The sequence below is a fragment of the Homo sapiens genome, chromosome 8 (genome assembly GCF_000001405.40).
Source record: "Homo sapiens chromosome 8, GRCh38.p14 Primary Assembly".
NCBI lineage: Eukaryota > Metazoa > Chordata > Mammalia > Primates > Hominidae > Homo > Homo sapiens.
Genome location: NC_000008.11, coordinates 63,398,016 through 63,416,721, shown reverse-complemented (window position 1 = coordinate 63,416,721; position 18,706 = coordinate 63,398,016). Strand labels below are relative to the sequence as shown.

At 38.4% G+C, this 18,706-nt stretch overlaps 1 long non-coding RNA gene and 1 pseudogene across 2 annotated transcripts in view; one reads left to right on the top strand and one right to left on the bottom strand.

Annotated features, from left to right (window-relative positions):
* Positions 1-18,706, top strand: part of LOC105375875 (uncharacterized) — a 33,098-nt gene that overhangs the window by 1,201 nt on the left and 13,191 nt on the right. The window contains exons 2-4 of one of the 2 annotated variants that reach the window (NR_188106.1): positions 3,005-3,338; positions 3,471-3,611; positions 5,753-5,814. This is a non-coding gene — a long non-coding RNA (uncharacterized LOC105375875). The remainder of the gene's footprint in view (positions 1-3,004; positions 3,339-3,470; positions 3,612-5,752; positions 5,815-18,706) is intronic. The other variant, NR_188107.1, reaches the window with a different exon arrangement.
* IFITM8P (interferon induced transmembrane protein 8 pseudogene) lies at positions 7,094-7,704 on the bottom strand (annotated as a pseudogene).

Here is an 18,706-nt window from a genome sequence, read left to right as displayed (position 1 = left end):
GCTCTACAAATAGTTCTTTAAACACAATATCCAGCTCAGAAAGGCAACCATACAGACAACACAAATACAAAGATGGAAGATAAACTAAAACATACCCACAGAAACAAGGGAAAACAGAAAGACCAACAAGAACTTGAGATATTAGAAATAACAGTTATATACTATAAAATAACTAGGTTTTCTGTGGTTAAAAAAAAAGTAAAAGACAAGCTTTAGTGACAGAGTATTTTTAACAGTAGATGAATGTAACAGTAGACTAGATACAGGTGAAAAGAGAATTAGTACCTTTGAAGGTACATGAGAAAAAAAATCCACAATTTAATATAGAGACAAAAGAATAAAAACTAGAGAAAAGATGGTAAGACATATTGAATATATTAAAAGCTTTATAATAAATGTTTAAATGAAGTCTGTGATGGTTAGTTGTATGTGTCAACCTGGCTAGGCTATAGTACCCAGTTACTCAAACAAACACTAATCTACATGTTGTTGGGAAGGTATTTTGTAGTTGTGGGTAACATCTACAATCAGTTGCCTTTGAGTAAAGGAGGTTATTGTCAATAATGTGGGGGATCTCATCTAAACAGTTGAAAGGCCCTAAAAGCAAAACTGAGGTTTCCCTAAGGAAGAAAAAATTCTGCCTCAAGATTGTAGCATCAACTCCTACCTCAGAATTTCCAGCCTGCTGCCCTGCCTTAAAGTTTTCAGACTTGCCAGTTCCCACAATTGCATGAGCAAATTCCTGGAAATAAATTTCTCTCTCTCTCTTTCTCTGCATAAATATAGTATACATATATAATACTAATATTGTTAATTAATATTGATTGTATAAAACAATAATGTTAGTGGGATTTAAAATACATTTTGAGAGGGAATGAAATTTACCAAATAAATGACAAAAGTTACACACGTGAAAAATGATGAAAGTTACACAAGTGATCTAAGATTCCTGTGTTATCTGGGAGAAGAGTATAAATTTTGACTAACATTGGACCTTGATAAGTCAAGGAGACTTGCTAATTTCTAGGAATAATCACTAAAAGAACAGAAAAAATAATATAGACTTCTAAATTAATAAGGTAAAGAAAATTGAATGATTAAAAATACCCAATTCAAGTGAAATAAGAAAAAAAATCAGAAAGAGCAGATCAAATAAAACAGAGGCAAATGGTAGAATTAAGCTAAATATATAAATGAGTTCATTAAATGCAATTAGATTATAAAGTTTCCATTAAAAGACAAAGTTTGTTAGCCTTTTTTAAAAAATAAAATATATGCATTTAGAAGAGATATTTAAAACGAAGGACAAAAAGATTTAAAGCAAAAGAATGTAACGAGGTATGTCATGCAAACATAAACCACCAAAAAACTGACGTAGCATATAAATACTACACAAAATAAAACTTAAGAAAAAAGGCACTAGGAAAGAAAAAGAAGCTCCTTCATAAGGATAAAATGTTCAATTCACAAGGAAGATATAATTCTAAATCACACTCACCTAATAATATGGTTCCAAAACAAAATAAAACATGACAGAAATGCACAGAGAAATTAATCCATAGTTACAATAGGGAATTGTGACACACCTTCCTTAGTATTTGAAAGAAGCACCAGACAAAATCAGTAAGGAAGCTGGGCGCAGAGGATCACGTGTGTAATCCCAGCACTTTAGGAGGCCAAGGTTGGCAGATTACTTGAGGTTAGAAGTTCAAGACCAGCCTTGCCAACATGGTGAAACCCTGTCTCTACTAAAAATACAAAAAATTCGCCAGGCATGGTGGCACACCGGTAATTCCAGCTACTTGGGAGGCTGGGGCAGGTGAATCACTTGAACGCAGGAGGCAGAGGTTGCAGTGAGCCGAGATCGCACCACCGCACTCCAGCCTGGGTGACAGAGCAAGACTCCATCTCAAAAAAAAAAAAAATTATTAAGGATAGAGCAGATTTGAAGAACATAATTAATAAACCTGAAATCAGTGGGCATGTAGAACAATCAAACTCAATAACTGCAGAATACACTTTATTTTCAAAAATGCATGAAACTCTTTTAGCAATAACAATATATAGACCAAAATGAATATCTCAACAAATTTAAAAGAACTGAAATCTCAGAGTATATTTTCCAATTACAATGTACTTATGCCAGAAATTGATAAGCACAAGATAACCCTTAAATTTTCCCAATATGGTTTAATCTGAGAAATAATACATCTAACTAACCAATGGATCAAAGGAGAAATCAGAAAGATAGTTTTTGAAATGATGAATAACAAAATTAGTATCTATTACGGAACTGAGAATACACAGGATTTAGAAGAAAAAATATATACTTAAATGCATATATTAGAAAAGATGAAAGACTTGAAATTTAATGAGCTAAGATTCCAGATCAATAAGTTAGAAAAAAAGAGTGAATTAAATCCAGTAATGAAAAATAAGGAAATAATAAAGGCATGACTATAAATGTAACAAAAAAGTATACAAATGAGAACCAAAAAAAGCTTAATTTATAAGTGCTTTGAGAGACTGATCAAGGAGAAAAAAGGAAAAGAACAAGTAATCAATGCCAAGAAAAAAAAAGGAGACCATGCTGCAGTTGCTGCAGATATTAAAGATGAGGAAAACACAAATGACATTATGCAAACAAATGGAAACATAGAAGAAAGTGACAAATTATTAGAAAAACATAACTCAGAAAGCTGACATAAAAATAAGTAGACTTTAAAACATTCCCACAAAGAAACTGCAGGCCTAGATAGCTTTACTAGTGAGTTGTTCTACATATTTAAGAAAGAAAGAACACCAGTCTTACAAGAAATCTTCCAGAGATCAGAAAAAGAGGATACATTTCAAGATAACCTTGGTACAAAACTTGACACAAAAAATCATAGCAGGCCAATCTCACCTAGGAACAGAGATTCAAATATTCTAAATAAAATATTAGTAAATTAAATCCAGCTATACATAGAATTAATACAATGTGACCAACTTTGATTTGCTCCAGGAATTCGAAGTTGTTTTAACATTAGAAAATCAACTGATGTGATTCAGCACATTTACTGAATATTATGATGACCTGGGCAGAGTCAGAAAAGACAACTGACAAAATTCAGATCCTGTTGAGATAAATATTAGCAAACAACCTAGAAAATCAAGCATTATATTTAATGGTGAAACATTAAACATTTCCTTCTGAGACTTGGAATGGACAAGGATGACATCATTACTTCTATTCAACGTTGTACTGAAGGCCCCAGACACTACAGTAAGACAAAAACAGAATGGAAGATAAAAGGATTGGAAAGAAAGAAACCAAACTGTCATAACTCACAGATCAGGTAGGCGTGTATAGAAAAATCTAAAAGATTCCATTAATCATTAGAATTAATGAAGATGTAGCAAGTTTACCTGATTCAAAAATCAATATACAGCAATGAACTGCGCTGACAATGTTCTATTTCTTTACTTAGGTAGTGGCTATATGCATACTGGCTTTGTAATCGTTGCTTAAGCCGTATTTGTGCTGTGCATTTTTTATTAACTCCTATGCATCGCCAGGACCCTGAAGGTGTCATACTCTTCCTGACAGGACCTACCAGCTTGACGGAGAGGCAAGTGTATACAGCACTGCTACTCTGAAAAGCAGCAGTACTCTTACATGTGAATGCTGAAAACCTCACTTAACGGATACTTTTGATGTAAATCCATTTATGCTCACAATTTTGGCTCCATTCCATTCTTGTTTTACTGTTTAAGTTTCTCTTTAAAGCAACAATTTTCTTTATATCATTTACAATAGACCCCACAATAGTATGACAGAAGCTATTTTTCTATCGAAGCATACTATTTTTCTTCTAGAGATGTCACCTTGAAAAAGACATTTACTTAACAATTCTATATTTCTAGCTTTCATTCAAAGAGACCTGTATATTTTACCTCACCCTGCTGCACTGATCTATCCGTAGCCTTTTCTTGAAGGAAAGGGTCACTCAGAAAGATCTGATAAAAACCTATAAAACAAGTCATTGTCAATAAAACCGAAATGTTTTCTTAAAGGCAAAGTATAACAATTTCCTTTTATCCACTGGTCAATAGATAAAAATAAGTTGGATACCAACTTAAGGGCACAAGCCAGTACTTCATTCATTTATTGTTAGTTGCTTTGAACATTGTTAAGAAAAAGAAAATACCCACTGGAAGCCCAAAGAGCCATTAGCAGAGGGCAGCAGTCATAGCATCATCATCACTGAGCCTAAAAGCAGAATAGAAAAGCAATATCAGACCTCATGTAGGGATACAGTTTAGAACTCTGGCAAAACTCCCATGCTCCTAGGGTACCTATTTCCTCTTACAAAAACATCATGTGCTTTAAATGCCTGAACCACTTTTCATCTAAAAAATACCATCCACTACTGCACGGTTATTGTATGTTCATTAGACATTAAAAACACAAACACTGACATTCTTTGCCTTACCTATTATGGCATAAGAAAGTATAAACGAGTCTGTCAAGTAACAAAAGGATTTTGATAACTATCCCAAAACTAATCTGTTATTATTCTGCCTGTCAGGAGAAAAAAAAAATCAGAAAACACAAATTCATATCATTTTCTGTTAACCAACTAAAAATAGAGGGTAAAATGTAATTCCACTAGAAAAATGAATAAGTACTTGAAAACCATCACATTCTATAAAGGTCTAGCTTTTGGAAATTGTAACCCTGTCATTAAATTATTTCCACAAATCCATTCACACAGTCATGTGCTGAGTCTAAGAGGAGGAGGAAAGATCATTTTTTTCCCCAAATTTGGTATCCAGCTTTCTAAAAAAAGACAAAGGCACATTTTATCATCCTGGAAAAAGTGACTTCAGTGAAGCAGATAAAGTGTCTAATAAGGCCTAATTATCTCATGTTGTGATTCTTTTTAAATCACTTTTAACCTCAGGAAGAATTTTAATTATCTTGTATAATAAAGTCTTTCCTTATTTCACCCCCTGTAGGAGAAAAACATATTAAACCTTATTTTTGTCAAAAGATAAGAGCAGTATTAAGTTTAAATTGATGTCATTATGAAATATTTGATATCAGGATTACAAATTTCAACTTCAGTAATTATTCGATTGGTCACAAAAGGGTATCATTCCACTGCCAACTCCTAGCAAGAGGCCATCAGAGTTATCAGCATGCATGCGATACACCCGGGACAGCTGGGGGAAGAGAAAAATGTGTTCTTTCTATTCCAGTAGAGTCTTGTGATTCCAAGGTTAAATTATTGAAGCAGTTTGGGAGGTACTTTTTAATATGATTTTCAAAAAGTTTTCTCCTCATTATCAACTCTTTAATAAACACTTCAAAGTTTCTGTGAGCTTCTCCATTGGGAAAAATATTAATTCATGAGCCTTCTTCCCAAACATACGCTCATTTCTCTCATTGGGATTCAAGAACTCAAGGAGGAAATGTTATGCAAGTGTCTGCATATAGAAAGACAAAGTTTTCCTTCCTCTTTTTTCTCATTTCTCCTACAAAGGCATTCCCTTCATGCCTAGCATATAACTAACTTCCATCTTGCCGTATGATTCTGGCATGAGGTGCAGTCTCTCCAACTTAGGAAGGGTCTTTGACACAAGGTACTAATCTATTCTTCTCCTCTTCATTCCTGATCTATAAAAAAATAACAAAAATAGCGTTGACTAGGTGCTAGGCATCGTGAGGAGCACTTTCCAATGCATTCATTTCATTTAATCTTCACAGCTCTATCCCCATTTCCTAAAGAAGAAACCTGATCCTTGGAAATGTTCAGTGGCTGCCCCAAGGTAATACAGCTGGTAAATGGTAAGATTTGAATGCATTTCTAAAGTTTGAAGAGAGAACCCATTCATTTAACTTCCACAACAATTCTGTAGTTTTTTATTCTGACAGAAAGGAACTAGCTGTGTTCATACCTTATAGAAGGATACCATTTGGATATGCATGGTGCCCTGAAAAAGAATGGCATTTTTTATATATACCTGTCTTGATATAGTTCACTTTGACTCTTGCTATAGAACTGCGTGTGGGTGAAACTTTAAAGCAGATCACTGGCATACTAAACTTCATGTTAACACTCATACTACAGAAGAATTAAATAAGTGCAAGATTCAATTACACCATAGTTTATTTCAGGGAGCTCAAATTACTACAGAAGAAGTCTATGTATTATTCTGCTAAAATCAGGATAAATACAGCGTGTAGGGGACCGGTAGGAAGATTAGCTCCATGCCTTTAAGGACCCAGGTGGTCATGGGCTCTAACATCATGCAAGATCATTGTAGTTGCCAACCTGCAGCCTGGGGCCCTAGAAAGAAAGAGTGGAGGACAGAAGGGAAGGGTTTGCTGGGTCAGGTGAAGAAGTGCCCTGAAAGAAGACAGAAAAGACTGGGTGAACAACTAGCCAGTTTCATTTACTTTAGGTATACAGAGTAATACAAAGTTGATGCAATAATTAAAATTTGAAGAATTAGTTATGGGTATTTCTAGGGCATGCACTAAAATTTCATTTTCTTTTTGTTTAATGTGATTCTTTTTTACTGTCTCTCAAATTTACTAACTGTTGTTTAGTTTGTGTCTTGGTAAGTCCCTTTAAATCTTCTCTGGGAGAAAATGGGGTGGGGGGGCTATACTTAGTTAATGAATATCCTGTGGGACCAAGTAATAATAATGTTAATACCTGCTAATATTTGTATATCATATATTATGTGCCAAGCACTATAGTACTATTCTAAGTATTTTACACATACTGACTCTTTTTTTTTGAGATGGAGTCTTGCTCTGTCACCCAGGCTGGAGTGCAGTGGTGCGATCTCGGCTCACTGCAACCTCCGCCTCCCGGGTTCAAGCAATTCTCCTGCCTCAGCCTCCAGAGTAACTGGGATTACAGGCACCCGCCACCATGCCAGCTAATTTTTGTACTTTTAGTAGAGACGGGGTTTCACCATGTTGGCCAGGATGGTCTCGATCTCTTGACCTCGTGATCCACCCTCCTCAGCCTCTCAAAGTGCTGGGATTATAGGCGTAAGCCACCACACCCAGCCCTGAACTTTTTTTTTTTTTTTAACCAGGAGCACGTGCACTTTATTGAATGCCATTGTAGAAAAGTGTGTGAGGATAAAGGGCTGATACAGGACTTGGCTCTGGGGGCAGCGCAAGGAATGAAAGATGAAGTGCGTGGGATACAGGTCATGGGCAGAGCTCCTGGCCTGGATGATGCCTCCTGATCTATCAATAGACTTGGAAGATCAACACTGGGATGATGATGAGCAGAATGGTCATGACAATGTCCACGATCAGGGCCCAGATGTTCAGGCACTTGGCAGTGGAGGTATAGGCCTGGGCCCTGGTCAAGTCACCAACCTTCTTCCTCTCCCTAGACTTCATAGAGTACACAAATGCTGTGAAGCACAGGCAGCCAGAGTTCATGAAGAGGGTGTTGAACAGCGACCAGACGACATGGTCAGGCATGGAGGTCTCACTGTGGAAGTGGATCATGGTGGACATCGGGGGAGCAGGGTTTTGGGGCGCCCCCACCACAGCCACCTTATGCTCCTCCTTGAGCATCTCATAATTGCGGGGGTGGCCGCTGTTGGCAGGAGTGAAGAAGGTTTGGAAAGTGTGGTTCATGGTGTCCAGGGAAGACCAGCTGTGGTCGGGTTGCTGGGATGGTTCTCAATAGGCCCTCCCTCTCCCCAGTAGTTTCAATTTCTCCTGAACTATTAATTTAATGAAGAAGCCCTTTTCCTGTTATCAGTCAATGCAAAGGTAAACTTCAGCCAAGCTTACCTACATAAACTGTTAAAACACAGATTGCAGGGCATCTCTTCCAGAGTTAATGATTCAGTAGGTCTGGAATGGGGCCAAGAATTTTGTTGCTCCAAGTGAAACTGATGCCATTGATATAGATGAAGCAAAAAGACAGTCTGAAAAGGCATGATAAAACCCTAAAACATATTAACCTTTGGAGTCTTAGGGAAATGCAAGAGAACAGGTTATAAGAGTGGGTACAATTCTGATTTTTATCAGAACCAAAGAAACAGTGTCACTAGATATTCATTAGAATATGGTTTCCAAAAGTCATGGAAGCAGACAAGACTTCAGCAGAAATGACGTCATATTGAGTTAGTCCATTTCCATAGAGTAAAGAGATGCTCTGTTCTGCTAGTGAGCTTGCTGAGACTTCCAAACCCCTTCTGGAAAGAAAACATCACGGGTTTTAAGGCAGACTGATATTTAGAGCCACCTTAATATGGAAAAATGAGACAGCATACAGGAAGAGATCTCACAGGCCAGCAGTAAGGGATGTCGAGATAATCAAGAGAGATGGACTCTCTAAAAACAAGCTGGAGGAGCACACTCCCCAGCCAGCTGTCATAACCAACATGGGGTAGACAAAAGCAGAATAAGAACACTATCCCTCAACTCTGGACTGAGTCTGACTTTGTAATTTGAGAACAGGGCAGAGCATGACAATGTGATGGATGCCCTATTCCTCTTCCTGCCTGCGTAATATTGCTTAGGATCTCTTTAGCGCCAGAGGCAATTTCAGGGGCTCTACAGAACATGATTGTATCTGGGGACTTTTAAGTTCCAACTGTGAGATTGGTTTATAGGACATTTTTCTAAAATGAATTGTTACATGTTTTGGTCTCTGCTCCTGATTCTCACTGCCTTTGCTAGATTGGCTATTTTAAAATCCTACTTTAACCATGAATGAGCAACATGATTCTTTCATGCGGGGAAAGAGATTGCTGTTGTTATATCCACAATTGATCTTTCCTATTTCTCTAAGATTGGGTTGGCGGAGAAAGGGATCACCTTCCTTGTCCTCTTCTTTCTTTCCACTTGAGAAGCAGTAAGAAGGATACCCAAGTGTCACTGACAGCCACAGGGCCTTATGTACTATGGGAGTTCAAACATGTACAATTCAATTTAGGAAAGGGAATTGCTCTCTGAGTATCATTAAGCCATTAAGCATTTTTTATTATAAAAGAGGAAAGGCAGGACATGAGCTGGGAGAGGGCAAAGAGGAATTAGTCCATCCTAGCAATTCTGCCACTATTAGTTCATTTAATCATTCAGCAAATCTTTATTAAAAATCTCTCCATACCACCACATGGCTGAACTCTGGAAGTAGACGGGAAAAACAGGTACACAGATCATCCTCTTGTATACATTATATTTCAGCAGGAAGACCAGATATTAAGCAGCTAAATTCATTATTAATTAATTGTGATAGCAATAAGGCCTGCGAAGCACAACTACAGCCCGGAGCTGGTCTGGTCATGGGATCAGGGAAAGCTTCCCTTGATGAACTGACACAAGCAAGTATGAAAGATGAGTTGAGTTCTCTGATAAGAGGGTTTTAAATAGGGAAAAGACCCGTTGTAAGGCTCAAAGGTAGGAGCACATGCTATACACTAGAGGAATTAGCAGAGGACTGCTGGAAAGGCGGTGAAGAGGACAGAACATTCAACAGGAGCTGGGGTGCCTGGACAGTCTGTGTGGGGCAATTGTTGTGATGACAACAAATGAATGTAAAACGTTCTCCAAGCATCAGGGACTTTGTCTAGAATAATCAAAGAGCCATCCGCCAATCCATCTTTTTGAATCCAAAGCATCTAGGGTATATAGCTCAGCAGAAGAAGGTGCTCAATGAATGTAGGTTGAATAATGAATAAATTAATCAAAAATGTAAGCATGTGTATAAAATCTATCTTTCACACATTGGAGTTGGCTTTGGTCCATTTACTGCAATATTTCAAAACCATATAAGTATCTGAGTTCCTTGAATTTGAAAAGACAGCTCAAAATAATTACTGTATTCTGAACCACTATGCTCTCAAATTAATTCCTATTGCAGCATGTGTACTCTCGTCCAGCCTTTTTAGTTTTCTGTCCAAATAAAATTAGGACTGTTTTCAAAAGACATATTGGAGCATTAATATCATATCAAATACTTGAAAATTTCATTAACAAGATCCAGAAGAGATCATAGTATCGGAAGCAGCTTGAAACAATACAGACAATGAAATGAAAGACCTTCTCCCTACAACATTCTTTTACTCTTCACACGTTTTTATCTTCCATTGCCATCTCTGAAAGCATTAGGCCAAAACTTGAGAAATTAAAATAACTTTTTAGACAGTTGATGCCTTTTCATTCATTCAAATTGCATTCACATTTTTATTCATCTGTTCATATCTACTGAGTTACTACCATATATGGAGCACTGTGCTAAATGCTGGAGATGCAAAGATGAAGGTAACATGTTCTTTACTGTCGAGAGCATTAGGAGAAGTACATAGACGATAAGTGTTAACATGTTTCAGGTAGAGAATCTGCCTTGGGGACAGTGGAAACACCAAAAAAGGAACAGTCAGTTCTATCTTGGGCGGGGCTGTGGGAAACCTGCTGCGTGGAGGAATGTTCAGGCAGGAAAGGTTCACAGAAGAGCTGACATCTTCCTAAGTCTTGAAAGTGTCCACCAAACAAACAAGGGACAGAGAGAGGTAGCATTTCAGGCAGAGGAAACAACAAGAGAAAAAGCATAGAGATGTGAGATAGCTTGTAAAGTTCAAAGAGCTGCACATGGTTTGGTAGAGAGGAGCACAAGATTCAAGGTAAAATAGGAACGAGTTTGGTCATGGACATATATCAGTGAAAGGGCAGTTATTGAAGGACCCTAAGCAGGGGAATGATAAAGCAAGCCAAGAATTTTATCTCAAAAAAAAAAAAAGTCCAATGACAGTGTAAAAAACTGGTTAGACGGGATTTAAGACTAGAGGCAATTTTCTAGTTGGAAGTAGAATGTTTATGAAGGTAGAACTGATAGGATTAGGATGGCTTCCTGAAAACTCATGTCTAAAATAAGAGGATAGTTATGCACTTTTTCTTTTAATTTTTTTTTTTTTTTTTTTTTTTTTTTGTTTGAGACAGAGTCTTGCTCTGTCGCCCAGGCTGGAGTGCAGTGGCGCGATCTCTGCTCACTGCAAGCTCCGCCTCCTGGGTTCACACCATTCTCCTGCCTCAGCCTCCTGAGTAGCTGAGACTACAGGCGCCCGCCACCACACCTGGCTAATTTTTTTTTTTTTTTAGTAGAGACGGGGTTTCACTGTGTTAGTCAGGATGGTCTCCATCTCCTGACCTCATGATCTGCCCACCTCAGCCTCCCAAAGTGCTGGGATTACAGGTGTGAGCCACCGCACCCGGACTTTATTTTTCTATTAACATATCAGTACCTTTGTACAAAATTATACAAAGCTAGAGTTGGTTTGAGCTACACAGCACTTAACCCAGTGCCCTAAGTTTGCCGAGGAACTGAGACCCAGAGAAAGTAAGAGCTGCAGAGCTAAGCAGGACAGAGCACCCCCAGGTGTCCTCAGTCTAGTTCATTACTCTTCTCCCGTCATCCTTCCCCAATTTACTAATCAATTAATGTTCAGCTATCAAATAGTAGTACTAGGATGCTACTTCAAGGAACTAAGCAAAAATTATTTATAATAGAAATCACTTAATTTTATATTTTTTGCATTTGTATGTTTACATATTACATTGTGCCTGCCTAAAATTATTTAAAAACGAAAATAAAAACTGCTGACACAGCTACTGTATGTGAGATGCAGAGAACTACGACAATTATGAAAGAAAACAATCATTAACATTTATAACTCTAATTCACGTTCATCTTTAGTTTCCTCAGTGTGGTCATTCCAAGGGAGTCTTTTACTCTTTGAAAATTATAGGCCTATGTTTGCAACCTAGTTCTGCCACTTGTTAGCTGGGTGATCTTTGTCAAGTCACTTAACCTCTCTAAGCTTCAGTAAAATCGTTGTAATAATAAAATCTATCTGATGAGGTTGTGGAAGCCTTAAATGAGTGAATGCACTAAACTAGGTTCAGCACATAGTTAAGTACTATATAGTGCTAACAATATATATCTAAAACGGTTCAACTAGCCATGGGGTAATGTGAAATGGGATGCTAAAATTGACAAGGCCAAATTTTTATTATATGTCACCAAAGAGATTTATCTATAGTTGTTTGCAACCTTCCACGAGTCTCTTAGGTTGCTTCACATGATCAAGTTAGATTTGGATGAGGTGATTCTCCTACTCACCTTTTTTGCAATTATTTTCTTCTGGCTTTCTGACTTTTCAAGTATTATCTTTTCTCATTAAAAAAAAAAAAATGATGGTCTATCATGGCACTAAACTTACTGAAAACATCACAAACCCTGTGGAATGTTTGCCAGGGATGCAGTTGAAGTTCTGAAAATAATGAGAAATCCATTCCTGCATTTCTTGATCCTGTAGTCAAATGCTAATTTTTAGTCTTCTAACAATGGGTACCCACTCATTCAACAATAAATGCATACTAGAGACATAGTATGTGGGGAACATTCTGTTAGGTGCTAGCAATGTAGAGACAGTACCCATACTCAAGGGAATCACCATGATACAGGGGGGTTATTAACTGAACCTTATCCACAGAGAATGAAACCAACCTGGCCCTCTTGGAGCATCAGGTCTAGTGAGGGAGACAGGGAATAATAGGGAAACAAAGAAGCACACAAGCACAAACTGGGAAGAGGCTTGTGAAGGTAAAGAACAGGTTAAAATTATGCTACCACTCCCCATCCAAGGGAGAAAGTCTGTATAGATAGTGTGAGCATTACGAAACTGAACATGGGTCTGGCTCACCCAGCACAGTAAAGCCAAACACTGACACTGAGGTTTGCAGCAAGAAAAAAAAGGACATTTATTCTCATGGTGCCAAACAAGCAAGAAAGGCAGCTCACACTTAAGACCCAACCTCCTTGATGGCTTACAGGCGAGGGCTTTTAAAGACAGGGGTACATTTCAGGGAAGCAGAAGTTATACAGGCAAAATTGCAAATTAATGTATGAAGGTCACACATTGGTTTGGCCCAAAAAAGCAGGATATCTTGAAGTGGGGGCTTACAGGTCATTGGTGGATTCAGAGATTCTTTGATTTGCAATTGGTTAAGGAAGCAAAGCTTTGTCTAAAAACTTGGGGTCAACAGAAGGGAAGGTTACAGTTTGGCCTGTGGATGTCACTTCCTCCAGGCCTCTCAGGAAGAAATTTAGAGCAAAGAACAGAGCTCAGAGTTTAGTCCTCAGTTTCCCCTTATCTGAGGTCTACATGACAGTAGTTGGCATTTTCCAAGTGGTGGGGGTCTGGGTTTCTAAAAAATAATTGAGTTACACATGTCAAGATGTTATCTTTAGTTTGTATAGAGAACTAAACATCTTGTGATTTTAACTTACTTGGGTGGCTATTGTTTAAGCTATTATTATCCTCTTGCTTATCACGTTGGTTATTTACTTCTCAAAGCTATTCAGGCGCCTTCAATTCTCCTCAAAATACTCAAGTTTTTTTTTTTAATTTATTTTTATGCTTGGGAGGCCCAGCAGGCCCCTAAAAAGGGTCCCTACTCTATTTCATGAGCAGGGAAAGCCACAGTGGGAAAGCAATGACTGGGCTGAGACCAGTTCAGAAGCGGGGGAAAAGGTCATCCAAAGAACAGGGGAAAAAATGATCAAAGCAAAGGGAAGAGGATGAGTGAAGGTCCTGTGATGGGGAAATACTTAACTGTGTCCAATAGCAGAAAGTAGCCCAGTGTGGATGAAACAAAGGTAGGACATACCAGGTGAGAACACAGAGGAGAGTAGAAGCAGTAACATGTACATTACAAGCCACAGCCAAGAGTATGTATGTGTGTTTTTCTTAATACAATGGAAGATTATTAAAGGATTTTAAGAAGTGATGTGCAGTCTACATTTTTTTTTAAGTTTCTCCTGGACTCTTGTGTTGGGAATGGGTTGGAAGGCAGAGCACTAATGTAGAGTTGGGGGAAGAGGATAGACCACGAGGCAGTCCATCCTATAGCGCCCTCTACAGGTCACTAGGAAGTGGCCTACCTCGGAGAGAAGCGGAGGAATTCTGATCTATTTGCAAGCGGAATGTAAGGTTTTCCTGCTGAATTCGAGCTGTAGGATGACGAAAAGGGAAGAATCAAGGATGATGCTCATGTTGAGTGAATAGAGGTGAACATCTGGGGAGGAACTTTTCTCCTGAGGGAAAATCTGTTCACTTTTTATTAGTCTTACACGGAGAGACCTTGCTATAATTATCTTACAGTAAATTAAATTCTAATAGAGTTACATATCAGTAATCTGGAAGACTGTTTTATGAGCTTCCTTGATACACACTGAATTAAACGCAGGGGAGAGTTGCAGTCATCCCTAGATCACTTTCCTCTCTGGACAACAGGCATCTAGTAATAAATGTACTTGGGAGAGTAACCCTGGGAGTTAATAATATCCCAAAGAAGTTTCGCCTCTTCTCCTCCCACTTCCAGCTTTGCTTGGAATGAGCACAGACCGCACAGGAATGCAGATGAATCCTTAATGAATCTGGCCATAGAACATGAAATGGGCAACCATCTTAGAATACCATATTACACTGAAATTGTGGTGTATTTTAGTAGTTTATGTGGCCCCCTCATTATTAATGCGACTGACATAAAGTGAAAGGGGAAGCCGAGAGTCAAATACTCCCCAGATGAATAGCCGAGGTCACTCATGGTATTTCAAATTCCCCTTGCAAATGACTGATTCGGGGATATGCACATGATTCAATCCTAGTCGTCAATTCAAAGTGAAGGAAAATCTGTTTGAGGGCATTTAGGAATGTGTTTCTGTGTTCTAACACAGAAACACAAGGAGAAACAGTTCTTTCTTTGTCCCCTGGACTTTGTTATATCTGAAACTGCTGTAGCCACCTTGCTCACAACCTTAGAAGGAAGCCAATACACAGAGGTAGACAGAATCAAGAGAAGGCACGCGATAGAACAGGAGCCTCTCTCCTTCTCCTGGAGGCTGCCCCGTTCCTCAACTTCCTATCACACGAGATAATAAACTGTCTTATTGATAAGCCAGTTTGAGTATGGGTTTTCTCTTGCTGAAACTAAATATATCCTTACTGACAAAGGTAAGTCCCATGACTTAAGGAAATGATAAAATTACTGTACACTCAAATCCACGAAAAACAAAATGGTCTTGAGGGTTCTACTCTATTTTTAAATATTATAGATACCCATTTTGGGAGAAATATGTATATTCTTTCAAGAATTTATAAATATGAATCAAGATATTTAGAATAAGTTTACTAACAAGAAATATGTCAATTGTTACAATACTTTTCAATAATGTTTTCTATGGAATTGTAGAATAGTTTTTAAAGAGAAGTAAGTGGAGGAAATCCACAAGTTTCAGTTGTAAAAAAAAAATGTGAAAATATAAAAGTAAGAACAAATTGAAAACTATCCTTTAGTAAATAACCCCTGAAAAAGAGAAAAATAAAAGAATCTATGGTAAAGGTGGTTTTCTTTCTCTCTCTCCTGTCTCTTGATTTATGAGCTACTAAGTCAGATGAAAAATAGAAACAGTACTATTGAAGTTAAGAGGAGAAAATTATTCGGAGGACACCTCTGAAGTTGTAAACAGCAGGGAATTGTTTGAGCATCAAAAAATGTCTTTGGATGGCAGGTTATGAAGAGAAAGGACTTTGTGGGCTTTGTGGTCCCCAAATCCTGAAACAAGCAAGCCACTAGAGCAAGGAGAGATTAAGATGGATCACAAGATGAACAGAAGATATTAAAAAAATATATTTCTTGTGAAAGTGAACACTGGGGTCCTGAGAACAGAGAATGACCTAGACCAGAAATATCAATATCCTCAGTGGAAGAAGAATGCAACTCTGTTTACACTGCTGCAAGTCACAGCGCCTCCTAAACCCCACGCCTCACTAGCTACCTCTCCATGAGGAAATTTTAGCTTGAGTTGCGCAGCGTGGCCATTATAGGATTTTGGTCATGATGAGTTAGTCTATTTTTCTGGTCATTCAAAAACTGTCAGGTTAGGTCTAAAAATTATAGTAGAATATTTTTGAAATAATTAACCTCTTAAAAACATAAAATCTTCCAAAATTTTCATCTTCTAGGTAGTGAGTAGGCCCGTGTTGTTTTCTTCTTGAGATTAAAAGTTTTTTCAATTTATTCCTTTATTTCATATGATTTGTATTAACTGCAATTTATTCTATTGGCAAATTTTCCACTAAACTCAGTCAAATGGACCCACACGAGTGATCACTTACATCTAAATATACATGGAGATGTCGTTTATTATAGCCTGAAATCTGAATAGACTAATCTAGAAAATAGAGATATCTAATCTCTTAATCTAACTTTACAAAATTCCCCATTATAAACTCCCCATAAATGCTGAGCTTCTAAGATAAATTTTTATAAAATTACTAATTTATAAGCACTGATTTATGTAACATGCCACTGCTCTCTCTCAACTACATCCACTTCAACATAGTACAAGTCCTCTTACGATGTATGTGTTTGTATAATAAAACTTTCATTACCTATGCAATTGATTTTTGCCCTTTAAAAATGTTTAAACACATTTTAATTTTTTCCCATGGTAAAAAGGTAACTGTAAATATGGCCAAATAACCTAGGCCTTGAGAAATGTACCATTATCAGAGTATTTTGATTTTTTCTTTGAAGTGATGGCAAGACAGTGCCCTGTTGTGATAGGGCTCTCTCCAGAAAAAAAAATGTGGTGCCAATTAATATGCCAGGTAGTTGTTCTCAGAGCTGGGTATGAGACAAGACTTTGACCAGGACCTCCTTCCTCTTTCTGGAAGGACATCTTATTTCCAGTGAGAGGCACAATGTAGCCCCAACCTCCGGAAGGATATGAGGAGTCTGTACTGTTGACCAGAGTTGGAAGTGGCAGTGGCAGTCGTGCAAAGAAATGGGGTTGGTGGGGAGGCCACCACCTAGAATAGCAGTCAAGTCCTATAGCTTCCCAGAGGCATGGCAACAGCCAGGACACTGACTCTTTGCACCTAAGACAGGAAGCATTCCATGGCAGACTAGCAGGGTATCCAATAGCATCACAGGGATGCCCGCTGTGCTCAACAGAACACAGGCCCACCAGGGTCTTAGCAGTAGAGGAAGCAGTGTGGCAACAGAATGGGAAAGCCAGAGCAGAAGCTACCAGCAGGTGTGTTAGGGAAGCCCTGTGAGGCACCCCCTGTGAGGACACCTGTGCTGTGAGGCCTCTCTCTGCGAGGACAGCTGTGAGGACACTGTGTGGTTTCCCTGTGAGGACACCTGTGAGGCTGCCTCTGTGAGCACACCTGTGAGGCCTCCCCTGTGAGAATCTTCCTGAGGCCACCCTCTGTGAGGAAACTCACAGAAATATTGGCAAACACATTGAAGGACACCAATTTATTTTAAATGAGCTAGAATGGGATTGTGTATATGGATCCAGGGCCTTTTACTTGCCTTTCTCCTTTTCTGAAATGTTCTTCCAGACAAGAAAATAGCTTCCTTTCTCACCTGTTTTGAATAGAATATCACTTTATCAGGAAGTATGACCTGACCACCCTTCTTAACATGGTAACACACACACACACACACACACACACACACACACACACACAGATCTAGTACCACCATTTTAATTTTTCCAATGCACTATTATCTTACATATCTGACATATTCAATAATATTTTTATTATTTGACACTTTCCACTGGAAGCTCTGCAAGGTAGATATTTATGCCTGTTTAGTTTACAATTTTATTCCTAGCACTTTGAGTAGTGTTTGGCACATAATAAACATTCAGTGATTATTTGTTGAGTAAGTAAAAAACTCTACCCCACATCACGGCCCATGCCTCACAGTTTTTTTGTCCTCCTCCCCTTCCCTGGCTTGGTCTGGCTGCTCCAATAGCCATGTCTTGGGACTTGTCATGACCCAACATCAGATGTCCCATGCCCACATCTCTCTCCTCTCTTGCCTGTTCAACTTCTCCCACCATTCTGCAGACTTATTAAGACTCCTTTACCATCTTCAAACCATCAACCGTATCCTTCAAACCCAGCTTTCTACTCCTGTAGGCTTAGATTCCACAAGATATTGTTTAAATGACATTTCTCAATGCTCTATATTTTAGTTGTCTTGTCTTGCTAGACTCCAGCACTGAGTGACTCAGCTATTCACTTCTCTGTGACTTCACCTGTTGCTGAAGAGAGTTACACAAGACAGCAGATTATGAATGACTTGAATCCTGTGGCCAACTCACTTAGGTCCTCAAAATTCCCCCTTGTATTTCTTCACTTTCATTAGACACCTCTCCCTCTAGTTTACAGAGAAAATAGAAGCCATCAGATGAGAACTCCTTTACCTTTTCAATAATGAACATATAAGCCTACCCACATTGCATACATTCTATCAGCTTTCTTACCAACTTGAATCCCATTCTTACCTTCTGAGGAACGTACACCAACAACTATCCTTCGTATGTTCATCTTTTTCCTATGATCTTGTATCAGTTTTCTAGGGCTGCCAGAACAAAGTACCACAGACTGGGTGGCTTAAACAACTGAAAGTCATTGTCTCACAGTTCTGGAGGCTCAAGTCTGAAATCAAGGTTGTGGGCAAGATTAGCTGTTTCTTAGGGTTGTGAAAATGAATATATTCCATGCCTCTCACCTAGCTGCTTGTGGAATCCTGGCAATCTCTGGTATTCCTTGGATTGTAAAAACATCACCCCAATCTCTGCCTTCATCT